Source organism: Homo sapiens, chromosome 18 (assembly GCF_000001405.40).
Source record: "Homo sapiens chromosome 18, GRCh38.p14 Primary Assembly".
Classification (NCBI taxonomy): domain Eukaryota; kingdom Metazoa; phylum Chordata; class Mammalia; order Primates; family Hominidae; genus Homo; species Homo sapiens.
The window spans coordinates 42205939-42229503 of record NC_000018.10 but is presented as its reverse complement, the minus strand read 5'-3'; the positions used below and the strand labels follow the sequence as shown (position 1 = coordinate 42229503).

Genomic DNA, 23565 nt, shown 5'->3' with positions numbered 1-23565 from the left:
GTTTCAGGTATTCTGTTGTAAGCAACAGAAAATTGATTAAGAGATCCCACAACCTCTGAGGAGCAGGCCAAGCTCAGTATTGCCTTCTTCTCATCCTGTCACCAAAGCAATATGGAAGCCATATTGAAAGTCATGCCAGTGGTCCCATTGGAGCTTGAAAAGTCTCACTTTAAGTATTGATAGCTTCAGTCTAATCTCCTTATCCTTTTTTCTCTCCATCCACAATCCACACTTCACAAGGTGAATGAGTACTCACATTTAGAAACAGAGTCCTGACCTGGTGTGGTGGCTCATGCCTGTAATCCCAACACTTTGGGATGCTGAGGCAGGCGGATCACCTAAAGTCAGGAGTTTGAGACCAGCCTGGCCAACATGGTGAAACCCCATCTCTACTAAAAATACAAAAATTAGCTGGGCATGGTGGCACACGCCTGTAATCCCAGCTACTCAGGAGGCTGAGGCACGAGAATTGCTGGAACCTGGGAGGCAGAGGTTGCAGGGAGCCAAGATCGCACCACTGCACTCCAGCCTAGGTGACAGGGAGAGACTCCATCTCAAAAAACAAAAACAAACAAACAAACAAAAACAAAAATCTCAGAAACAGGGCGCTGTGGAAAGCTTCACTTGTGTTCACTAGGTTAGATTAATTGAGGCATGAGAGAGTGTTAGTCATTTGGAAATTATCAAAGCATCAAAACCAAAGAGTCTACACAACTGGGTGCCTGAAGATCTGTTTTGACTCTGCCACCAACTAAGAACAAAAGGAAGAGGTTCACCTCTCAGGGACATCACTTTCTCTGTATGTACACATTTTTCTGAGACAACTGGACAAAATGAAGACTTTTCACACTAAGTTTTTTCTTCAGGCTCATGTGGGAACCCACCATACCCCAGGACAGTCATGCATGAGACAGGAAAAATTCAGTATTATTCCTAATTCTGCCTCTCATTCTTCTGCAGCTTTGCGGTTCACCATTATTAATTGACATCAGAAAATCTAAACTAAAAGTGCTTATTTGATACACTGTATTAACCCAACCTCCGTCTTTTCTGGGATAGCAAAGTAAAGTCTATTTTTACAAATACAGCAGTGAGCTGTCAAGCAGATAACGCTTCTGAAAAACACACAGAGAAAATAAAACAAAACAGAACAGAACAGCACTGCCCTCAGATACAACTGCTTTGTAGAGTCAGATCGTGCTTGATTGGTTGTGGCTAAATCCTTCATCTACATGGGTGTCAGTTGCCTACTTGTAAAATAATTATGCTAAAATTAATCATCTCTTAAGGCTACTTCCAGATCTAAAAGTCCACTCAGCATCACTCTGTAAGATACTGTTTTAAACTTTCTATAAGGTATCTTGCAAATTTTAACTTAGGAGTTTAGGAAAATACAGGATTAGTTGCCCCATTGCATCCTTGGTTGGCCATCTGTTCATGGGAACTAGGGTCAGATACAGTAAACTTGAGGTTATATTCAGGAAATCCAAGGGTATCTATAAGAATAGCATATCCAGTCTTTATCTTCTACAGGCAATCTGTCTCATTTGTTGTGTTTTTGTTAAAGGTATTAGACAATTATAATGGTAATGGCTATCACTTTGTGTTTCTGCTAAATGTATTAGAGAATTATAATGGTAATGGCTGTCACTAGAAGGCAAATTCCCTGAAGGCAAGGGACTTTTTTCTATTTTATTCTCCGCTATCCCTTATTTTTTTTTTAAAAAAAGCAGATTTATTGAGATATAATTGTTATATTATTAAATTCAACAACTTAAAATATACAATTTAATTATTTTTAGTATATTCATAGAATTGTAGACCTATCACAAGATCTTCAATTGGGAAAATAAGAATGTTCTGGGTTTAAATAGTACTGGTGGTGGTTTCACAACATGGGTTCTGTACTTAGTGCTACTGAATTGTTTAGAATGGTTACTGTAGCAAATTTTATGTTGTGTGTATTTTACCACAATATAAAATTCCAGAAAAAAATCCCACTGAAGTACTTTTTAACATCATTTGTGTTTTCATTCTGCAGCTCAAGTATTATCACTGTTTACTGACTTGATTCTTTAATAGGTTCTGGGACCCTTATGGAATAGTCATCTTTGAAATCTCTTGGACAGTAGTTTTCTCCAGGCAATGAAATTAGGGAAGATTTCCCCTTCTTCTTCAGATCGATCTATATTTTCTAAAATAAGCATGCATAACTCTTTAGACAGAAAACAATTATAAACATTATTTTTTAAATATTAGGAATATATGTAATTAGAACTTTTGAGTGAAAAACTGCAAAGGGCTTTTTAGAATCTGAGGAAGATAGAAACCTTTTGGAGATACTACCTTCTCCTATGGCATTGAACCACATGCTTTTATGCTTATGGCTCATTTGTGAGATGTAACATTTTGCATTTATCCTGCCTTTCCTATACAAACTGTGTTACATGGTTTATAAAATTTCTATTGGTAAACATATTTCAGAAATATACCCATAGATACACCTATATATACATGTAATAGATGTATAAAGTAAGAATAATAGAGTTAGAACAGCCTCCTTTTGCAACCTTTAATGAACTGATGTATCTAGTTATTGATCATCATCACCTGCTAAAAGAGAGGCAACCAGACAGTAAATGCTTAATAAGGAAAAGCACAGCAACCTTTATCAAGTAGAATTGCTACAAATAAACCTACCTGTATCTGATTAAACCACTAGCACCAATGCTCAATTTACAGGAACAGCAGAGACTATAGGAAGATGTTAAGCAACACCATGGTAATATAATTATCAAAATCCAGATGGCAGAAAACTCTACAGGATAAATAACCTGGTTCCTTCAACAATGGAAAGAATTAAAAATTTTTGGACTTGATTCACACAAATTGCTACAAAAATATAGTATTTGTAAGAAAATTTGAAATTTGAATAATGGCTAGGTATTTGATGATATTAAATTATTATTTTTACTTGTGACTGCAACTGTAGTTCTTTTTTAAAGTATTATGTTTTGGAAATACACTCTGAAATTGTTTTCAAAGGAAATAATTTGACTTCTGGGACTTGCTTCAAAAAATACTCAATGAGTGTAAGTGAATGGAGGTATTGATGAAACAATATTTGTCATGATTGTATAATTTCTGAAACTGGGTAGTGAGTGCATGGAGTTTTACTTTATTATTATTTCTACATCTGCATATGATTGAAAAATTTCATGATACTTTAAAAATGTATTTTTCCAAATAAATGTAATGGTGAGAAGGGGTATTTGGAAGGTTTTGTTTGTTCATTAGTTTTCTAGCATTTAGTTTGTTTTTATTCTTTTGAATTTGAAGAATATACAAGATATAATTCACCAGAGTAAAATTTTCTATCTAGGTGCCTCCACTTACCACTGCCATATATGTAAACTGAAGAGGGAATTTTTTCATGACCAGCCTTCTGGGAATCGCAGAATCGCAGAATGTGATAGATCTGGAATACTCTCCACAGTCTATGGGCTGATGTCATGTGGCTCTCTCATAAATGGGAAGGAGCTGTGAAATGGCAGAAAATACTCAATTTTACAACTATTTTTGAAAATCTTTAATATTCCTTATTTTAAAAGCACGTTAGTACATCTGAGATAAAGTTGGAATGTAAAATGAATCAGGTTGTGAGCAGAATTATGGTGTAATAAAAACATGCAGCAGAACTGGACAGTGAAATAGCTTTGAATTTCATTGAAATGTGTTGTATCATTGATCATGGATATAAAGCACAGCATGTTTACGGATTTGGCAAGAGAGAATGTACAGATTTTTTTTTCCCCAGGACAAGCAGACATACTCTCGTACCTGTGGAAAATATATAAATATATTACAGCAGAAGAGATCATCACCATTATATTATAAAACATACAGTGCAGTGTAAAAACACACACACACCCCCACAAAAACCATCAAATCATTTTAAGTAACTATATTTGTGGTAATGTTGACGCTATTATTCTGAGGCTGATGCATGTATATTGTTAGACAAAATTAATAATTACATTGATATTATTAAGAACCAGGAGTTTTGGCATATAAGAAAAAAAGATACATATGTAAGATCAAAGAGATTACATTTAAAAAAAACCTTGTAATCCTAAATTTAAATCTGAAGTTTTTTATCAGGTGAATTTGCGATGTATTTTATCATATACATTTAAAAAGCACCAAAACTGGTAGCAATGACTTCTCCCTAGCAACCAGATGATGATCTATAAGCATAATTTTCTACTAAAACAAACAAAAAAGGGAAAAATAGGGAGGAAGCCTTACAGCTACAGAGGAGTGGAGAGACCAACAAATCTTCTTACCTCCACAAGAAAAGGATAAAACTGGACACAATTGTCAAAAACAACCATCTTGGAACTCTAAAAATTGACTAAATGCAAAGAACAATTTGAGAAATACATATTTATGAAAAACTGGTAGTCCTTCAGCTACAAACAATAGCGTCTGTAATCTTGTCTGGAGCCAATATTCACCACCCATCCCAGCTTGGTCAATAATAATGACAGCATTGCTATTGTGCAGCTGGCCAGGAAACCTATAACTTTGATGCCAGACCAGGTGGGCTCAATTTCAGGCATAGGACAAAAACCTACAACAGGCAGCATTGTCAGTAGAAAATAAATGGGTGACTGACAAGTCTACTAGCCTAAATTTGTGGTACTGGTTGGGGCAAATGGTAAACCAGGCATAAACTTAGTGGAGAGCTCTTAGGAATAAGAGGGCCATAGAAGAGATGAGAGAAGCTCTTCATGAACACCTGGCTGACTAGGAAGCTATACATGTGTGTGGGGCAAGACCAAGAAAGTTTGAGTTTAAAGTGAAAGTCACAGAAGACTTGAAAACTGACAACTTTGTGCCCACACCCAAAGACCAGTCAGCAGAGGGAGGAAGAATTATGGGCGCATGGAATTTGAATATAGCCTATTCCAAATCACTGGATGACCACTAAGCTATGTAGACACTGGGATGACCCCTAGGAAGCCAGGCTAAATAACAAAAATAAAAAATCTTAGCATATATACAAATGGCCATATGCTACAGGGGAGATCAATTACACAGTTAAAGTTCAAGTGAGTTGCAAAAAAGAAAAAAGAAAGAAAAAGTAAAATCAGAACACAAAATTACTATATTACCTCATATGTCCAGTGTACAGCCAAAGATTAGAGTATACAAAAAATACTAAGTGTGAAACCATATTTAGAGAAAGTATAGACCAGATTTAGAAAAAAAAAAAAAAAACCACTGAATAGAACTAACTGTAAGTAGACTAAGAAGTAGGATTTTGCAGCAAAAATTTCATTATAGCTATTCTGAATATATTGCATAGAATTAAAAAAGATTTGAGGACAATGATTCAACAAATAGGGGATCTCAGTAAAGAAATAGAAAGCTAAAAATATCTAAATGGAAATCTTTACGTTGAAAAATGTAATAACAAAAATGAAAAATTTACTAGATGGATTTAATAGCAAATTTGTGATGGCAGAAAAAATCATCAATGATTTTGACGAAAAAAATAGAAATTAATTTACCTTAAGATTAGAAAGAAAATAGTTACAGAAAAATAAGCGGAGACTCAGAGACTTGTCAGAAAATTATACACGTACTGAAGGGATTCAGAATGTGCCACCCCAAAATATTCCGCTTTGGTGTATTGATTGTTTTGAACTGAAGGCACTTGAGAAACAGCAAATGCAGGAGGGGCTTTCTGACCTCCTCTTATCTAAAAGCAGGTCATAAAATTTCCCATTAGAAAGTCGTTTTCCCTTTAACACAGAGAAGAATATTCTACTCACTGCACACTGGGAGTCAACATGAAAATGTATCTATAAAACCTACTAAAATAATTCTTATTTTCTATTATTTTCATGTATATATTTCATAGTCAGTTTCCCACAATTTACCACCACAGAAGTTTAAATCCCTTTTCCTTTGTCTTATCACTTCTTCACAAAATTATTATTTTTTTGGTAAATAGATTTATAAGCTCTCAGTCCTAACTGCTTCTTCACATCTTTATTTTTTCTATGAAGGCTGCCAAATACATATAAAAACATTACATAAAATGTATATGCTTTTCTCCTGTTAATTTGTCTTATGTCTGTTTCATTTTCAGGCCAAATTCTCAGGCCTGGTGGCAGAGCCTAGCAAGGCAGATGAAAGCATTTTTTCCTTTCCCATGATATAAACATACATGTAATGAGAGTCCCAGAAAGAGGAAAGAAAGAAAATGGCAGACAAATATATTTGACGTGAACTTCTGTTTCCAGCTCTAATACCAAAAAATAATAGAAGTCATTACTCCCATCCTTTCAACAAGAAAAAAGTTGAACATACTGAAAAATGATGACTTTTCTTAGACCTGTTAGAGAACTGAAATCTAAAGGCAAACTGCCACACCGAATCTGGCAAGACAACTTCAACCAAAGAGTTACAGCCAATACCTGCTGCCTTGGAGGAAGAGCTGCTGGAGTAATGAACTGGTAGAAATATTTAAATGGTAATTTTGATTAATTGCTGGAGCCAGGAAACTAACTTGAGAGTGAGAATATCCTAAGGGTTGCAGTCTTAGGGATACATACATTCTTTTTTTTTTTTTTTTTTTTAACCACTAGGAATCTGATTATACTTTCACAGTGAAGCAGCAACAAAAATTCTCTTGTAGCTTTGGCAGGAAGAGGGTAAAAGTAACTATTGTGAAATACACCCAAAGTGCTCTCCATAACACAGATCTATGCTTTCAAGGGAGAAAGGCTACCAGAGCCTTATCCCTACCTGGGAGAAAACTATTTCCCTAACTACAGGCCTGTCTAGCCCTTGAGACTCACCTAAAGCTGGAAAATCTCCGTAAGTTATTTTCTAGATATCAACAAACTGATTCTAAAGTACATAAGGAGAAGCACAAGACCTAGAATCACCAGCACAGTACTAAAAAAGAAGATAATTAGAGAACTCACACTACTCAACTTCAAGGCTTACTATAAAGCTACAGTAATCAAGATAACAAGGTGTTCAAAAAAGAATAGACACATACATGGATGAAATAGAATAGAGAGCTCAGAAATAGACCCCCACACATATTGTCGATTAATCTTTGACAAAGGAACAAGAGAAATTCAATGAAGAAAAGACAGTCTTTCAACAAATAGTCCTGAAACAAGTAGACATCCACATGAAAAAAAAAAATCATACATCTTTCAAAAAAAAACTTACATCTTTCAAAAAAATTAATGAGAACGAGTGAATCTTAGACCTAAATGTAAAACATGAAACTATAAAACTTACAGAAGAAAACATGACAGAAAATCTAGGAGACCTTGGTTTGGCAATGAGTTTTCAGATTCAACATCAAAAATATGATTGATGAAAGAAAAAAAATTGTTAAGTTGGATTTAATTAAAATTGAGAACCTCTGTTCCATGAAAGACACTGTTAAGAGAATAAGAAGAATTAAAAGACAAGTTATAAACTAGGATAAAATATTCACAAAACACTTATCTAATAAATGATTTGTATCCAAAACATAGAAAGAACTCTTAAAACTCTGCAAAAACAAAACAAAAAACCCAGTTAAAAAAAATAAAGATTCAAATAGACATCTCATACATAAATGACAAATAAGCACATGAAAAAGAAGCACAACACTATTTGTTACTAGGGAAATACAAATTAAAACAATAAAACAAAATAAAAGAGTAAAACAAAATAAAATGTTACTATACACTTATTAAAATGGCTAAAATCTGAAAATTCATAAAACCAGTTGATGGCAAGGATGCAAAACAAAAGAAACTCTTCCATTTGCTGGTGGGAATGCAAAATGGTACAAGTACTTTGGAAGCCAATTTGGCAGTCCTTATGAGGCTAACAATAGGCTTATCCTACAATCCACCAATTTTACTCCTACGTATGCACTAGAATAATTTGAGGTGAACACATCCACACAAAAGCCTGCATGTGAATGTTTATAGCAACTTTATTTGTAATAGACAAAAACCAGAAGCAACCAAGATGTCCTCCAAAAGTTGTGTAGATAATAGAACTGTGGTTTATTCACACAATGAAATATTATTCAGTGATAAAAAGAAATGAGCTACCAAGCTATGAAAAGGCATGGATGAATTACAAATTGCATATTGCTTAGTGAAATATTTTGAAAAGAATCTAAAAAGATTATAATTTCAATTAGATGACATTCTAGGAAAGGAAAAACTATAGAAACAGTGAAAAGATCAGTATTTGTCAGGGGTCCAGACAGATGAGAGGAAGGGTTGAATAGGTGAAACATAGGGAATTTCTAGGGTGGTAAACTATTCCATATGATAGGTAACTGTTAACACATGGTATTATGCATTTGTCAAAACCCACTGAACTTTACACAAAGGAGTAGACCTTACTCTTTGGAGTAACCTTATTCATTAAGAGTAAACCTTAATGTATGCAACTTAAAAAATAATTCAGATGTTAGAGGAATCCCAGGATGGAATGGGATTCCTAACTATATTACAATCTAACTATATTACAAATGTATACTATTTAATACAACCTCAAATAAAGCTGGGGAAAGGAGGCTGACCTGAGCAACTCTGGAAATTAGAGTAGTCTGTCAAACAATAGGCAAAAAGTCTAGAGAACTAATATATATCATGAGGACTATAGGTGATAAAATCATACTGTATTTGGGATTCATGACAAATGAATAGATTTTAGTTACCTTACCAAGAAAAAAAAAGATAGTAAACATATGAGATGATGAATTTATTAATTTGCTTCACTATAGTTAAATACTATAGTTAGATACTTTTTTTCTATCTCTGTATATCCCATAACCTCATGGTGTATCCTTTAAATATACACAATATTAATTTTAAAAAATATGGCTGTTCATAAGCACTATACTTGAAAAACAACACATACCTAATGGACGTATGAACTAATGATTCTGATACATACATGCTAGAATTGGACAATTAAGCAAATGAATTGTGGATGGTGGGAGCTAGGTTTCCTAATATTATAATCAGAGTTTACAAATCAGCACATGGAAGAGGCTAGAATGATCCATGTGGTAATGAATTAGAATTGGAGACATCAGCATGGACCCGTGATTATTTTAATATAGATACAGATGGTTACATATGGAAATATTTCCAGGTATATATGTATACTCATGGGACAGTATACCCATATATATTTCCTTTCTCTGTTAGCTGAGAGGGCCTAAAAACAATGACACCAAAATAGCAACCAGCACTCTTAATGTCCAGACATTGGTTTCGGATAGCATTCTCCAAAAAAGGGGAACCAGAGCTTCTCAGAGAAATGGCTGATTCTAGGACTGGGGCAGGACATATGTAAGATGAACTTGGAGCAATTGCAGTGCCAGAAAATAAGAGAATGTTCTTACCAAATAAGAGCAACAACAAGAAGAAAATAAATATAAACAAAACCACAATGGTGGAATATTATCAAAGGGACACAGGAACAACTGAAAGCTTCTGATGGCCACAACTGGAAAAATTTGAGCAAGAAAATAATATCAAATTATAACCCAAAGTATAAAATAAATAAGTCCATATTGATTTAAAAAAATATTGAATACCTAAATAATTGGGGTAAAATAGACAAATTTTTCCTGCAGAATTCCAAGTAATTTCTATTGATACTCCTCCCTCAGGTTGTAGAGAATAACTTTACCTCTCTTCAAATATAGGATATACCTAATGACTTTCTTTTAAATAATATAATACAGAAAAGGAGGAAAAAAATAACTTTACAGTGAAGTCTGACAAACTTGTTAGCCATGTGATCAAGGTCAACACCAACAGTGATAAGTTATATTGGTTGATATACTTTGATAAAATGGCACTTTATTTCAATGATCTTTTTTCCAAAAACACATAATCTCAGTCTAATCATAAGAAAAACAGCAGACAAATCCCAATACAGGAACATTCTACAAAATACCTGTGCATTAACTCTGAAAGCTATCAAGATCATCGAAAACAAGGAAAGTCTAAGAAGCTGTAATTGCTAGGAAGAGCCTAAGGAGACATGGTGATTAAATGTAATGTGATATTCTGGAAAGAATCATGAAACAGAAAAAGAACATTAGGTAAAAACTATGAAAATCTGAAAAATGTACGGACTTCAGTCAATAATGTCTCCATATAAGATCATTAATTGTAACAAATAATAATGTAAGATGTTAATAATAGGAAATATTTGGTATCAAGTATATAGGAACTCTCTGTGTTAATTTCACAATTCTCTGTAAATCTAAAACTGTTCTAAAAATAAAGTTTATTTGAACAAGAACATTTAAAGAAGTAATCATTGAAGCTTCCTAATTTGATTAAAAACATTAATCTACAGATCCAAGATAATGAAACCCAAATAGACTAAAAACAAAGAGATAAACACCTCAACACATCATAGGCAAAGTGCAGTAAAACAAAGACAAAAGAAAATCTTGAAAGCAGCAAGACTCATTGTGCACAGGAATCACTGGTACTATTTAAAGTTGACTTTGATCAGAAACAATAGAAGCAAAAAGGCAGCGGAAGGACATATGCAAAGTGCTGTCAACAAACAATTATCTAACCAAAAAGTCTCTTCTTAAAAAAGGAAGGCAAAAATAAAACATTCCCAGATATACAAAGATCGAGAGAAATCATTGTTAACAGATCTGTATGACAAGAAACACTAAAGGAAGTCCTTCAGGCTGAAGGGAAATACCAGATGGCAATTTAAATTCACAGGAAGAAATGAAGAGTCACAAAAATGGTAAAAACATAGGTAAGTAAAAGAGTATATAAATATATTTTCTTTCTAATTTTTATAATAAAAATAAAATTGTATAGGGCAATAAGAATAGTACTGTACTAGGGGTTTATAGCTTACAGGGAGATTGGAAGAAACTGAGCTATTTTAGAACATAGCTGCTATATTTTTCTGGAATTAGGTCAGTATTTACTTGAAATAGATTGAGATAAATTGAGGTGTATACTGTAATTTCTGGTAACTACTAAGAAAAGAACTCCAAAAACTTTGTATGTTTTGTTTGTTTTTTGTTTTGCTTTGTTTTGTTTTGAGACAGAGTCTTTCTCTGTCACCCATGCTGGAGTGCTGGAGTGCAAACACAGCTCAGTATGGCCTCAGCCTCCTGGGTTCAAGTGATCCTCTGCCTCAGCCTCCCCTGTAGCTGAGACTACAGGTGCACACCACCATCCCCAGATAACTTTTTGATTTTTTGTAGAGACAGGGTCTCACTTTGCTGCCCAGGCTGGTCTTCAACTCCTGGGCTCAAGTGATCTCCCATCTCAGCCTATCAAAGTGCTGGGATTACAGGCATGAGCCACCATGCCTGGCCAAAAACACAGTCTTAAAAAAAATCAGCAGCTAGTAGATGTTTTTACCAAAGTGGGATCCCAGGAGTCAAAGAAATAAATCACAAGGAGAATTAGAAAATATCTTGAACTTATGTTCATGGGAATGATAGAGCTGGGAATAGTAGAGGCCAGGTGGCTGGCAGCACTTAATAATCATAAGCCAAGTGGTAAAAATTACCATAATAGGCAGCAAGGTTGGAATAGCAGCTAGGGCAGAGCTATTCACTGAAAATGATAAGAAAATATAGTATGCCTAGGAACAAGATGGACAACCATTAAAACCATTGCTCAACAAATCATGATGAGAAAAGATAAACAATGGATGAACAGAGCTGAGATTATCCACTTAATGGATTTGGCCAGTTTCCAGACCTAAGTCAATTCTCAGACTCAGAATCCACCAACTGAAGAAGAGGCCAGGTCTTGATAAAGAAGGATTCTGTAACACCACAGAAAGTAGGCACAATAGTGTTCTTCACAGACTTTTTGAAATGGGATTTATTGCTCTTTACTTCGATAAACATGCCCTGGAGAAAGATGAATAACTAGATTATTTCCAAGACAGTTGTATATAGGATATGAAGTTAATGCCGAGAACCAGCTATCCACAGAAGTCCTTATGGTACCCTGTTAGAGTATAGGTCTCCAGTAATAAATGCAGTATTGGCCCAGAGCTATCTCACAATGGGTTTGATAACTCCATAAGCCCACCTGGTAGTTGTTTCTTAGTTAAAAACCATATAACCAGAAGGGACATACATTGCAGTTAAGAAAACTCATATTGTCTCCTTGACCTGAAAAGTAAAAGCTAATATGTAGGAAAAGTCAAATGGAAAGCATCTAAAATTTGTCCCTTCAGTGAAGATAGTAATTTCTTCAAAACAGTATTGTATTCTGGGGAAGAAAAAAATGTGACTAGTGATACTTCCTAAGACAAAAAAAAAAATCAAGGGGCCCTAAGATCATAACTGCCCACTGTATACTCCAAACTATTAGATGCATCAAATCATGAGATTGGGCAAGTCCAGTAACAATAAATCAAAAAGTGGAAATGCTACATCAGAAGTTAGGTTTGAGCAAATCCATGGGGCTCATACCTATGGTCTTATGAGACATTCACTATGACCATTTAATGGAAAAGAAAGACGTTCAACCTTGGTTCATGGATGAATCAGCTTGAAATATAGGTAGAAACCAAAAATAGACTGCTGCTTCATGACAGCCCCACTCAGGAGTGGTTTTGCAAGAAAAAGATTAGAAGTCCTCTCAATGGCAGAGATTTGGGTGAAGAAACTTGCCATTCACTTTGGGTAGAATGTGAAATGATCCGTGTACTATGTGAGGTACACTTTGGGTAGAATGGGAAGATGATACGTGTACTATGTGAGGTGGCAGATGACTTGCCTACCTGCTCAGAGGCCTTTAGGTTACAACATTGGAAAGCTAGTACAAGAATATCTTGGAAAGAGGCAAATGTTAGACTTAGGGTAGTGGATACAAAGTGTGAGAATTTTGATGTTGAATTTAATGCCCCAAATAAATCATCATTTGCAAAAGAGGTTCAAATAACCAAGTGGAGAAGATGCCTTTACCAGTATATGTCAGTTAGCCTCTCTCCTCAGACATCCAAGGACTTGTGCAATGGAATCAAGAATAAATTAGCCACAACAGGAGGTTAGGAAAATGGCAGATAGGAGGCAGGACTAAATTGCAGCTCCCACTTGGATGGACAGAGCAGCATATGGAGACTCACATTGTGAACTTTCTCTCCAAGAACTATCACAGGAACATACCAGGAAAGCCGAGTAAATCCACAGACCCTTTGAAGGAAGCAGATTGCTTCTGAAGGCCCTGGGAGACAGTCCAAAAACTGTGAGCACCTGAAGTGTAAAAGTGTGAAAGAGGGATCGTCCACCCCAAACACACACCCTTCACTGAGGAACCTGAAGGTCCGAATCACAGGAGAAGAATTTGATCTTTCCTGGAGCTGAGACAATTTTGGATATCCGAGCGAAATACAGGGATAGAAGCAGCAGCAGGATGAGCTGTGTGGTCTTTCTCAGATCCTAGGGAAGCCATTTCTGACTTTCTGTCACAGAGGTCCCTGGGAAGGGCTGCCAGATAAATGGAAAAGACTACCGGGAGAAGAAAACTTCCAGCTGAACTTTGTAACAATTTTGACCACGTGTGAAGTTTCCCATACAGAACTTAGGGAAAGAGGTGAATCTGGAGTGCAGACACAGCACTGAAGCCATGGCAGGTAGGGAGGTGCTGAACCTGAAAAGCCCTGCTTACTTTCACAGCCAGGAGGCTGGCAGCCTGGGGCAAGTTCTCAGCCCTGCTCACTTGCTGCCTGGAAACAAACTTGGTGCTGTTGAGGGGGCACATGGTGGAAGTGAGACTGGCCTCTGGGGCTGCGTGGGAACTGGGTGAGGCCTGTAATTGCCAGCTTTCCCCCACTTCCCTGGAGACCTGCATGACAGAGCAGAGGCAGCCGTAATCCCCCTGAGAACATAACTCCATTGGCCTGGGAATGACACCACCATCTCCAACAGCAGCTGCAGCAAGTTCCACCCAAAGAGGGTCTGAGTTCAGTGATGCCTAACCCTGCCGGCCACCTGATGGTCTTTTTTCACCCACCCTGGTTGCTGAAGACAGGATATATTCTCTTGGGAGCTCTAGGGACCCATCTACCACTTGATTCTCCTTATACCACCACAGCTGATACTGTCTTATAAGTGCCATCTCCTGGCAGGAGGCCAAACAGCACAAGACTAGTGCAATAAACAAAACTATTAATACAACTAAGGATCCTCACAGGGTTCATTTCACTCCCCTGCCACCTCCACCAGAGGAGGTACTGCTATCCATGCCTGAGAGACCTGAAGGTGGTTCACATCACAGGACTCTGTGCAGATACCTCCCAGTACTAGTCTGGAGCCCAGTAGCTCCACTTGGTGGCTATGTCCAGAAGAGAAATGACAATCTCTGACGTTTGGCTCTCAGGAAGCCACATCCCTAGGGAAAAAGGGAGAGCACTACATCAAGGGAGCACATTGTGTGACAAAATAATCTGAACTGCAGCCCTTGAGCTCCAGATCTTCCCTCTGACATAGTCTACCCAAATGAGAAGGAATCAGAAAAATAATTCTGATAATATAACAGAACAAAGTTCCTTAACACCCCCTAAAAAATCACACTAGCTCACCAACAATGGATCCCAACCAAGAAGAAATCCCTGAATTGCCAGAAAAAGAATTCAGAAGGTCGGTTATTAAACTAATCAAGGAGGCATCAGAGAAAGGTGACGTACAACTTAATGATATCAAAAAAATGATACAAGATATGAAGGGAAAATCTTCAGTGACATAGATAGCATGAAGAAAAAACAATCACAACTTCTAGAAATAAAGAACACACTTAGAGAAATGCAAAATGTACTGGAAAGTCCCAGCAATAAAATTATACAAGCAGAAGAAAGAACTTCAGAGCTCAAAGACAAAGTTTTCAAACTAACCCCATCCAATACAGACAAAAAGAATCCAAAAAAATGTACAAAGCCTCCAAGAAGTTTGGGATTTTATTAAATGACCAAACCTAAGGATAACTGGTGTTGCTGAGAAAGAAGAGAAACCTAGAAGTCTGGAAAACTTGTAAGTGCCACCTCCTGGCAGGAGGCCAATCAGCACAAAACTAGTATAATAAACAAAACTTTATTTGAGGACTAATCGAGAAGAACATCCCTTACCTTGCTAGGGACGTAAACATCCAAATACAAGAGTCTCAAAGAACACCTGGGAAATTTATTGCAAAAGGATCATCGCTTAGGAAGATAGTCATCAGGTTATATAAAGTCAAGATGAAGGAAAGAATCTTAAGAGCTGTGAAGCAAAAGCACCAGGTAACCTATAAAGGAAAACCTATCAGATTAACAGCAGATTTCTCAGCAGAAACCCTACAAGCTAGAAGGGACTGGGGCCCTATCTTCAGCCTCCTTAAACAAAACAATGATCAGCCAAGAATTTTGTATCCTGTGAAACTACACTTCATAAATGAAGGGAAGATACAGTCTTTTTCAGACAAACAAATGCTGAGAGAATTTGACACTACCAAGCTAGCACTACAAGAACTCCTAAACGGAGCTCTAAATCTTGAAACAAATCCTCAAAATACACCAAAATAGAACCTCCTGAAAGCATAGATGTCACAGGACCTATGAAACAAAAACACAATAAATTAAAAACAACAACAAGGTATTCAGGCAACAAATAGCATAATGAATAGAATAGTCTCTCACATCCCAATATTAACAAGGAATGTAAAGGGCTTAAATGCTCCACTTAAAAGATACAGAATGGCAGAATGGATAAGAATTCACCAACCAAGTGTCTGCTATATTCAAGAGACTCACCTAGCACATTAAGACTCACATAAACTTAAGGTAAAGGGGTGAAAAAGGATATAACATGCAAATGGACACCAAAAGTGAGGAGGAATAGCTCTTCTTATACAAGACAAAACAAACTTTAAAGCAACAATAGTTAAAAAAGACAAAGAAAAACATCATGTAATGATAAAAGGACTTGTCCAACAGGAAAATATCACAATCCTAAATATATATGCACCTAACACTGGAGCTCCCAAATTTATTAAACAACTACTACTAGACCTAAGAAATAAGATGGACAACAACACAATAACAGTGGGGGACTTCAACTCTCCACTGACAGCAATAGATAGGTCATCAAGGCAGAAGGTCAATAAAGAAACAATGGATTTAAAGTATACCCTAGAACAAATGGACTTAACAGAATATTGTACCCAACAACTGCAGAATATACATTCTATTCATCAGCACATGGAACATTTTCCAAGATAGACCATATGATAGGCCACAAAACAAGTCTCAATAAATTTTTTAAAAATTTAAATTATATCAAGTACTTTCTTGATCACAGTAGAATAAAGTTGGAAATCAACTCCAAAAAGCATCACTCAAAACCACGTAAATACATGGAAAATAAATAACCTGCTCCTGAATGATTATTGGGCCCACAATGAAATCAACATGGAATTTAAAAATTATTTGAACTGAACAATAATAGTGACACAATCTATCAAAACTTCTGGGATACAGCAAAGGTGGTGCTAAGAGGAAAGTTCATAGCCTGAAATGCCTGCATCAAAAAGTCTAAAAAGCACAAATAGACAATCTCCCATTATGAGTACTTGGCTGTGGTGGTACCATGTTGTGCTTTCTGTAAAAAGCAATTGTTATGAGGGCCAAAAAAGAACTGCTGTGAAACCTGATGGGAGTTTAACTCTAACCAGTTTCCAGATTGTAAAGTGATTGCTTTTGGGTTTCTACTATTTCCCATTCTCACTACACTCTTTGTCACTAGAATGGATTTATGTGGTGCCATATTCTGCACACATTACAATGTTTGTCAAGATAATGAATAGTCTGAAAATTTGAATTTCCAATACAGTCAGTGAATTATGAAAGTGTGTCTTAAAAGATTTCCTCACTCTGTTCACTTACCCAACAGTCTCAGCTCTCTCTCCTCTCAAAAGCCTAACTGTTGCCAGGAAGAGGCCTGAGAGGTCAGCAAAGCAAAGATTAGAATATTGAAAAGGTCAGCATAGCAAGGCCGCTTCTTTAATTCACACCGCATATTAGACATTAAAATTCTAGGTCCTCACTCCTACAACAAATGAGAATAAAAAATAGCATAAAATTAATCGGCAATACTTCTTAAAGTGACAAATGGTTATTAATTTCTTTGGTATTCATTACAATAACATTAATCATGAAAAACTCTTTGAATGTGAAAGTAGCCATTATGTGCAGTTCCATAGGAATTTGGTGGTAATTAAGCATTCATTAATGTCCATTTACAATGAAGTGTTACTATATTAATCCACTTTTCTGTGACAAAACCTGTAACAGGCGAAAGACATAAGTCTGTTCCCTCTGTAGACTTTCCATTTCAATTGTGAAGCCAACTTATGTCTTCAGTTAAGACTAAAATTTTAAGTGGTCTCCTGATTATTGTGGCTAGTCTTTGAGTCCAAGGTTCAAAGAATGTTAAAAATCAAGATTATTCTGGGTACCAAGGAGCATAATATAGTTTTTAAAACTTATGTCATTGTTTAAGATGAGTTTTTGCATTAGCTTACAGGTTACTCTAGCCAACTCAGTGACACTGAATGTAGGATTCAGTCTTCCTTGAGGTAAGTAGCTTGATACTATTCCATGCCTCAAACCCTACCCCTACTCCTGGCTTGTTGTCTTGTTGCAAGTGGTTAAAATGAATAGATAATATCCATTCTGGTTACAAAGAGTGCAATGTTAATGGAAAATATTAGAAACCCAAAGCAATGACTATTGTCTGGTAAAAACAAAGAACTCTCTACTGGAATAACAGTCAACTTTTTAACAACACCAATAACATTATCACCGACAATAGTAGTCGATGATAATATCATCGACTACTATTGGACACTTACTCTATTCTAGGCATTACTGCAAGAAATTAACATGCATGAGTTAATTTAATTAATTAACAGCTCTAGAAAAACAGCACTATTATTAGCTCTATTTTATATAGATTAGGAGAGGAACACAGGACAGGAAGCCAGCAACTGGCTGAGCTAAAATTGAAACCTGCCAGCCTGGCTCCAGAATCTATCTTCTGAGGAATTACACTTTGCTGCCTCTTATATTGCCAGATAGGCTGTTTGCAAGAATATTGAGTAAGATGGTAAGCAAAATAACAGGACTAGCATGCACACACACGCGCGTGCACACACACACACAAACACAAACACAGACACACATATACCCTTCAATTTCCTAAGGATTCAGGGAAAACAAGAAATTTGTCCCTGTAAATGAGAGCTTTCCAAAACATGAATGCTGCAACAGGTTCCAGGAGATATTGATGCCTTTGGCCCTGGGGCAGCCAGATGGGGTCTAGGGTAGCCAAAGCCAGGTCAGTTGCAACCCCAATCTGCCGCTTCCAGGCTCCTTGGAGCGTTTTGGAGAGAAGCAGGGTCTGAGGTTCTACATACCTCCAGGCCACTGACAAGATGAGTGATGTCTGTCATTGTTGCTGTGTGCCCAGTTAGGCTGGATGCAGACAGGGAGGTGCTGTACTACTTGGCATTACACCTCAGAAGCCAGCTGCAACGCACAGCCTTGCTGTGGAAATGGAGGAAACAGCCAACAACACTTCTAGAAAATGTCATGTTGTGAATGGTCAAGGAGTGCTATCCAGGCCAAGATGTGGCCAGTTGGGAGTGGTGGTGGGGGCGTGAGGGGAGACGAGGGGCCAGGCACAAGTGCCTAGTATGCTAAGTGCCAGGCAGCACCCTGACTCCCTGCCTTCATAGATGTCAAAACTTCTATCAATTTGCAGCCAATGTGCCCTTTTAATAGAATCCAAACTATCTGCAGCGTGACAGCTCTAACAATGCATGCACATTCTACAAATTAGAACTCCATCATTATTTCTAAATACTTGATAGAAAAAGTCCAATTAGATTTGAATCTTTTCACATTATCACAGGAAATTTTAGTCCATGAAAGAAAAGGAAGGGCTGTTAGATCCTTCAACGTAATGTCAACTGTTGTAAATTGTAAAATAATCACAAAAAACGTTTTAAGTTTTTTGTAAAACCATTGTGAAATAAAACTTCTTTGTCTACAAAGACAATGAAGCATTTGAAGACATCATTAAAAACTCTTTTCAGAAATTGTATGTAATCATTTCAAGCACTAACCTTCACATTAAAAAGGTATATTCATGGAAGAAATCCTAGTTTTCATAATAAAATAAATAGAAATTCATCTGAAATTTTGTAAATATTTAATACTTACTATGTTCTTTCATTTTTTGTATTTACTGTTCTTACATAATATAAAGAAAAGGTAACGACCATTTTAGCCAAGTCCTGTAAGAATTTCCTAAATCCCCTCAGCATATCCCAGAATGCCATACAAATATTCTCATGCTTTTCCTGGGGTTTGTGGAAGAGAAGATACAACAGGAGCTTGCAAAATCACCCAAGGAAGAACAGAAAGCTTTAAAGTCCACCTGCCTTTCTAAATGTTTTAAAATATTTATCATGCCCATGAAGACATTTTTAAAGTGATAACTTCTCACCAGATTAAAAGGTAAACTCAACTGAGCAGAGGGAATCAGGTTTTGAACTTGACAGGCCAGGTAGGCTGCCTGGAGCCTGACAAAACCTCTCTTTGAAGATCCTTGCAAAGCACATGCAAGTACCTGGCAGTTATACTGGGGAAGAGGCATTTGTTTTTATTCCAACTATAAAATCCTTGCCTTCCTAGAATTTTGCTACACATCTACAGCATCTACTACCCTGGCTATCCCTTTAGAAAAAAAAAAAAAAAAACACAAAGGAACAAGTATTCTGCAGCTGCCCACTGAGCCTGGGGGTCCTAGTTACACATAAGCCCTTGTGAATATGGGCCACCCCATGAGTCAGGGAGTGAGGGAAGGCTACCCGCTGTCACCTCCCCTTATGTAGGCAAGGGTGATTGCCTATGGAGGAGTCTCTCGATCTCCTTGAAGAAAGAAGCTCTTTTTTTCATAATACTTAGTAGAAAGGTCAGATGGCATATAGATTCCCTCTGCCATGTATTTGCTGAGTCTGTTGGACAAAGTGCTAAACCATATTGAAACTGTTTCCTCATCTCTAAAATGGGAATAGACTTACATATGTCATATGGTCTTTGTAAAGATTCATGAGAATAAGGTTCATTAGGAACACTGCAAAGTCTTCAATATATTTTAACCAATAAAAATGATAGTTATTATAAATGTTTCTTGGACTAAATTGTTAAAAGTATCATTTAAAGTTTTAACTAGCCTCAAAAGTTCTATTTTTACCTGGATTGATAGAGTCACAAGATAATGTGTGTGTAAATAAATGTGACAATTTTCACATCAAAGCAATGGGCTCTGTAATTCTCTCCTTTAGGCCTGAAAACCTCAGGTGAGTTTATCACTAGTTTCTTTCCCTTTCTCCTCCTCACCCCTTATGACCTAATGGGATGAGACCAGAAAAACCTCCCTGTAATATTGGCTCTCCTTTTTTTCCTGAAGTGGGCTGAATTGGTACATCTGAAGCTTATAACCTATCCTTTAAGCAGCAGGCTCCTCCCATGACCTTCACATCCAGTTAGAAAGCTTCTGATTCAGGGCCACCTCACCCACCTCACTTTTCTAACTGTCTAAGTCTATTCGGACTACTATAACAAAATACCTTAGAATGGGTAATTTATAAACAACATAAATTTATTGCTCACAGTTCTTGAGGCTGGGAAGTCCAAGATCAAGGTGCCAGATGATTCAGTGTCTGAGAAGGGCCATGTCCCTCACCGGTGCTGCCTTCTTGCTGTCTTCACATGGCAGAAGGGGCAAACAAGCTTTTTGGGTCTTTTTAATAAGAGCATTACTCCCATTGATGAGGGCTTTGCCCTCATGTCCTAATCACCTCCTATTAGGGATTGGTTTTCACATACAAATTTTAAGGGGACACATTCAGACCATGCCACTTAAATTTTCTTCCGTTGTTTCTTACTTTTCCTGCCCTTATGAATACTCACTCTCCTTGCATCTACTTCCAAGAATAGTTGACTACCTTCTTTGACTCACTGTTTTTCACTACTTAGCTGCTCCCTAGTTGTTACCCTAATTTCCAGATTTCCCAATCCCGGATTTCCCCTAACTTTAAAGCCCCTAAGTTTGTATTCACTTATTTCTCAGTCACCAGACCAACCCCTTTCTTTTTGCCCACCATGATGGTGCAAGAAGCTGTCACTCTGTCACTGGAACCTGTCCCTTATTCCCTTCCATCACATCTCCTTCCACTCCCTGCCTCAGGAGGGTCTCAAGAAATCTTCTGTTCTTTCTGAAAGATGATGAGATCCAAATATAACATATTGAAGACCTGAGAGCTACCCCAAACTGTGAGATCTCCTCCCTCTTGCCTTTGTTTTAAACAGCCAGCATGAAAATGCATGGGACCTGTAATATGAGGTTAAGAAAAAGGCACGATATAAGAGTTTACAAAGAGTTTCATTATAACTATGTAAAAACTATTATGTTTGCCTGTGTTTTTCTTGTGCCTAGCACAATGTCTACATGTTGTAGATGTTCCATAAATATTTGATGCATACACTTATCAGTTAATGAATGTATAAATAAAATACTAGAAGGCAATATGCCCAAATGGTTGTCTTTGAGTGATAGGATTATAAATCCTTGTTGTTTTTCTCTACTGTTCTGTATGTTTTAAGTTTACTGTAATCATCATGCATGGCTTACACAATTGCAAAAGAACTTTATTGGGAAAAGAAATAGTCAAGTACATTCTCAGTACATATGGAGATTTCCTTATAAAACACCTTTTGAAACCAAACACCAAAGAGTACATATTGCACTATCCCATTACATAAATTTCACAAACAGGCAGAACAAATCCAGGGTGCTAGAGGATGGTGGTGACCTTTATTGGGAACTAGTTAACTTTGATTTCTTTATCTGTTGCTAATTACATCTGTGTGTTCATTTTGTGGAAATTGGAAATGCACACATTTGTGTACTTTTCTGCATTAATATTAAACTTCAATAGAAATGTTACCTTTGAAACTTAGAAACAAAACTAATTGTCTTTCAAGTAAAACGCTTCAGAAGAAAACAGTTTTATTTTAAAGTTTTAGTCTACTGATTCTAACCTCATTCTATTCATAGAAAAGAAATATGAGTATAAAAATAAAGAAGAGAATAAGTGTCACACCACAGCAGTTGAGTAATAATTGAAATGAAAAAGTATTAAGTTAGGAGGAGTAATTATTGCCGTGTTAAAACTCAAGTTTTCAATCTTTAAAAACAATCATGCTCATCTGACAAAGGGCTAATATCCAGAATCTACAATGAACTCAAACACATTTACAAGAAAAAAACAAACAACCCCATCAAAAACTGGGCAAAGGATATGAACAGACACTTCTCAAAAGAAGACATTTATACAGCCAAAAAACACATGAAAAAATGCTCATCATCACTGGCCATCAGAGAAATGCAAATCAAAACCACAATGAGATACCATCTCACACCAGTTAGAATGGCGATCATTAAAAAGTCAGGAAACAACAGGTGCTGGAGAGGATGTGGAGAAATAGGAATACTTTTACACTGTTGGTGGGACTGTAAACTAGTTCAACCATTGTGGAAGTCAGTGTGGCGATTCCTCAGGGATCTAGAACTAAAAATACCATTTGACCCAGCCATCCCATTACTGGGTATATACCCAAAGGATTATAAATCATGCTGCTATAAAGACACCTGCACACGTATGTTTATTGCAGTGTTATTCACAATAGCAAAGACTTGGAACCAACCCAAATGTCCAACAACGATAGACTGGATTAAGAAAATGTGGCACATATACACCATGGGATACTATGCAGCCATAAAAAATGATGAGTTCATGTCCTTTGTAGGGACATGGATGAAGCTGGAAACCATCATTCTCAGCAAACTATTGCAAGGATAAAAAACCAAACACTGCATGTTCTCACTCATAGGTGGGAATTGAACAATGAGAATACATGGACACAGGAAGGCGAACATCACACACCGGGGACTGTTGCAGGGTGGGGAGAAGGGGGAGGGATAGCATTAGGAGATATACCTAATGCTAAATGACAAGTTAATGGGGTGCAGCACACCAACATGGCACATGTATACATAGGTAACAAACCTGCACATTGTACACATGTACCCTAAAACTTAAAGTATAATAATAATAAAATTTAATTTAATTTTTTAAAAAATCATGCAATTATCTAACATACTGATACAATTGGAATAGGTAATATTTGCTTTTTCTTTAATTAAAATGTGATTTATTAGACTTCTGACCTTGCTATCTCTAAGGTGACTGTTCTCTCTCTCAAAACCAAAAGGCTTTATATACTCACTGGTTGTATTAGTCTGTTCTCATGCTGCTGATACTCGATAGTGGGTAATTTATGTCTCAAGACATACTAGAGACTGTCTAATTTTTAAGTATGTCTGGGTATAAGTATGTCTTG

The 23565-nt window shown here is 36.6% G+C and overlaps 1 long non-coding RNA gene across 5 annotated transcripts in view; it reads right to left on the bottom strand.

The window, feature by feature from the left end:
• LINC00907 (long intergenic non-protein coding RNA 907) overlaps positions 1-23565 on the bottom strand; it is a 504759-nt gene that overhangs the window by 461923 nt on the left and 19271 nt on the right. For all 5 annotated transcript variants that reach the window (NR_046174.2, NR_046454.1, NR_046457.1 and 2 more), the window contains exons 2-3: positions 16978-17140; positions 3397-3540 (exon numbers count right to left, since the gene is read on the bottom strand). This is a non-coding gene — a long non-coding RNA (long intergenic non-protein coding RNA 907). The remainder of the gene's footprint in view (positions 1-3396; positions 3541-16977; positions 17141-23565) is intronic.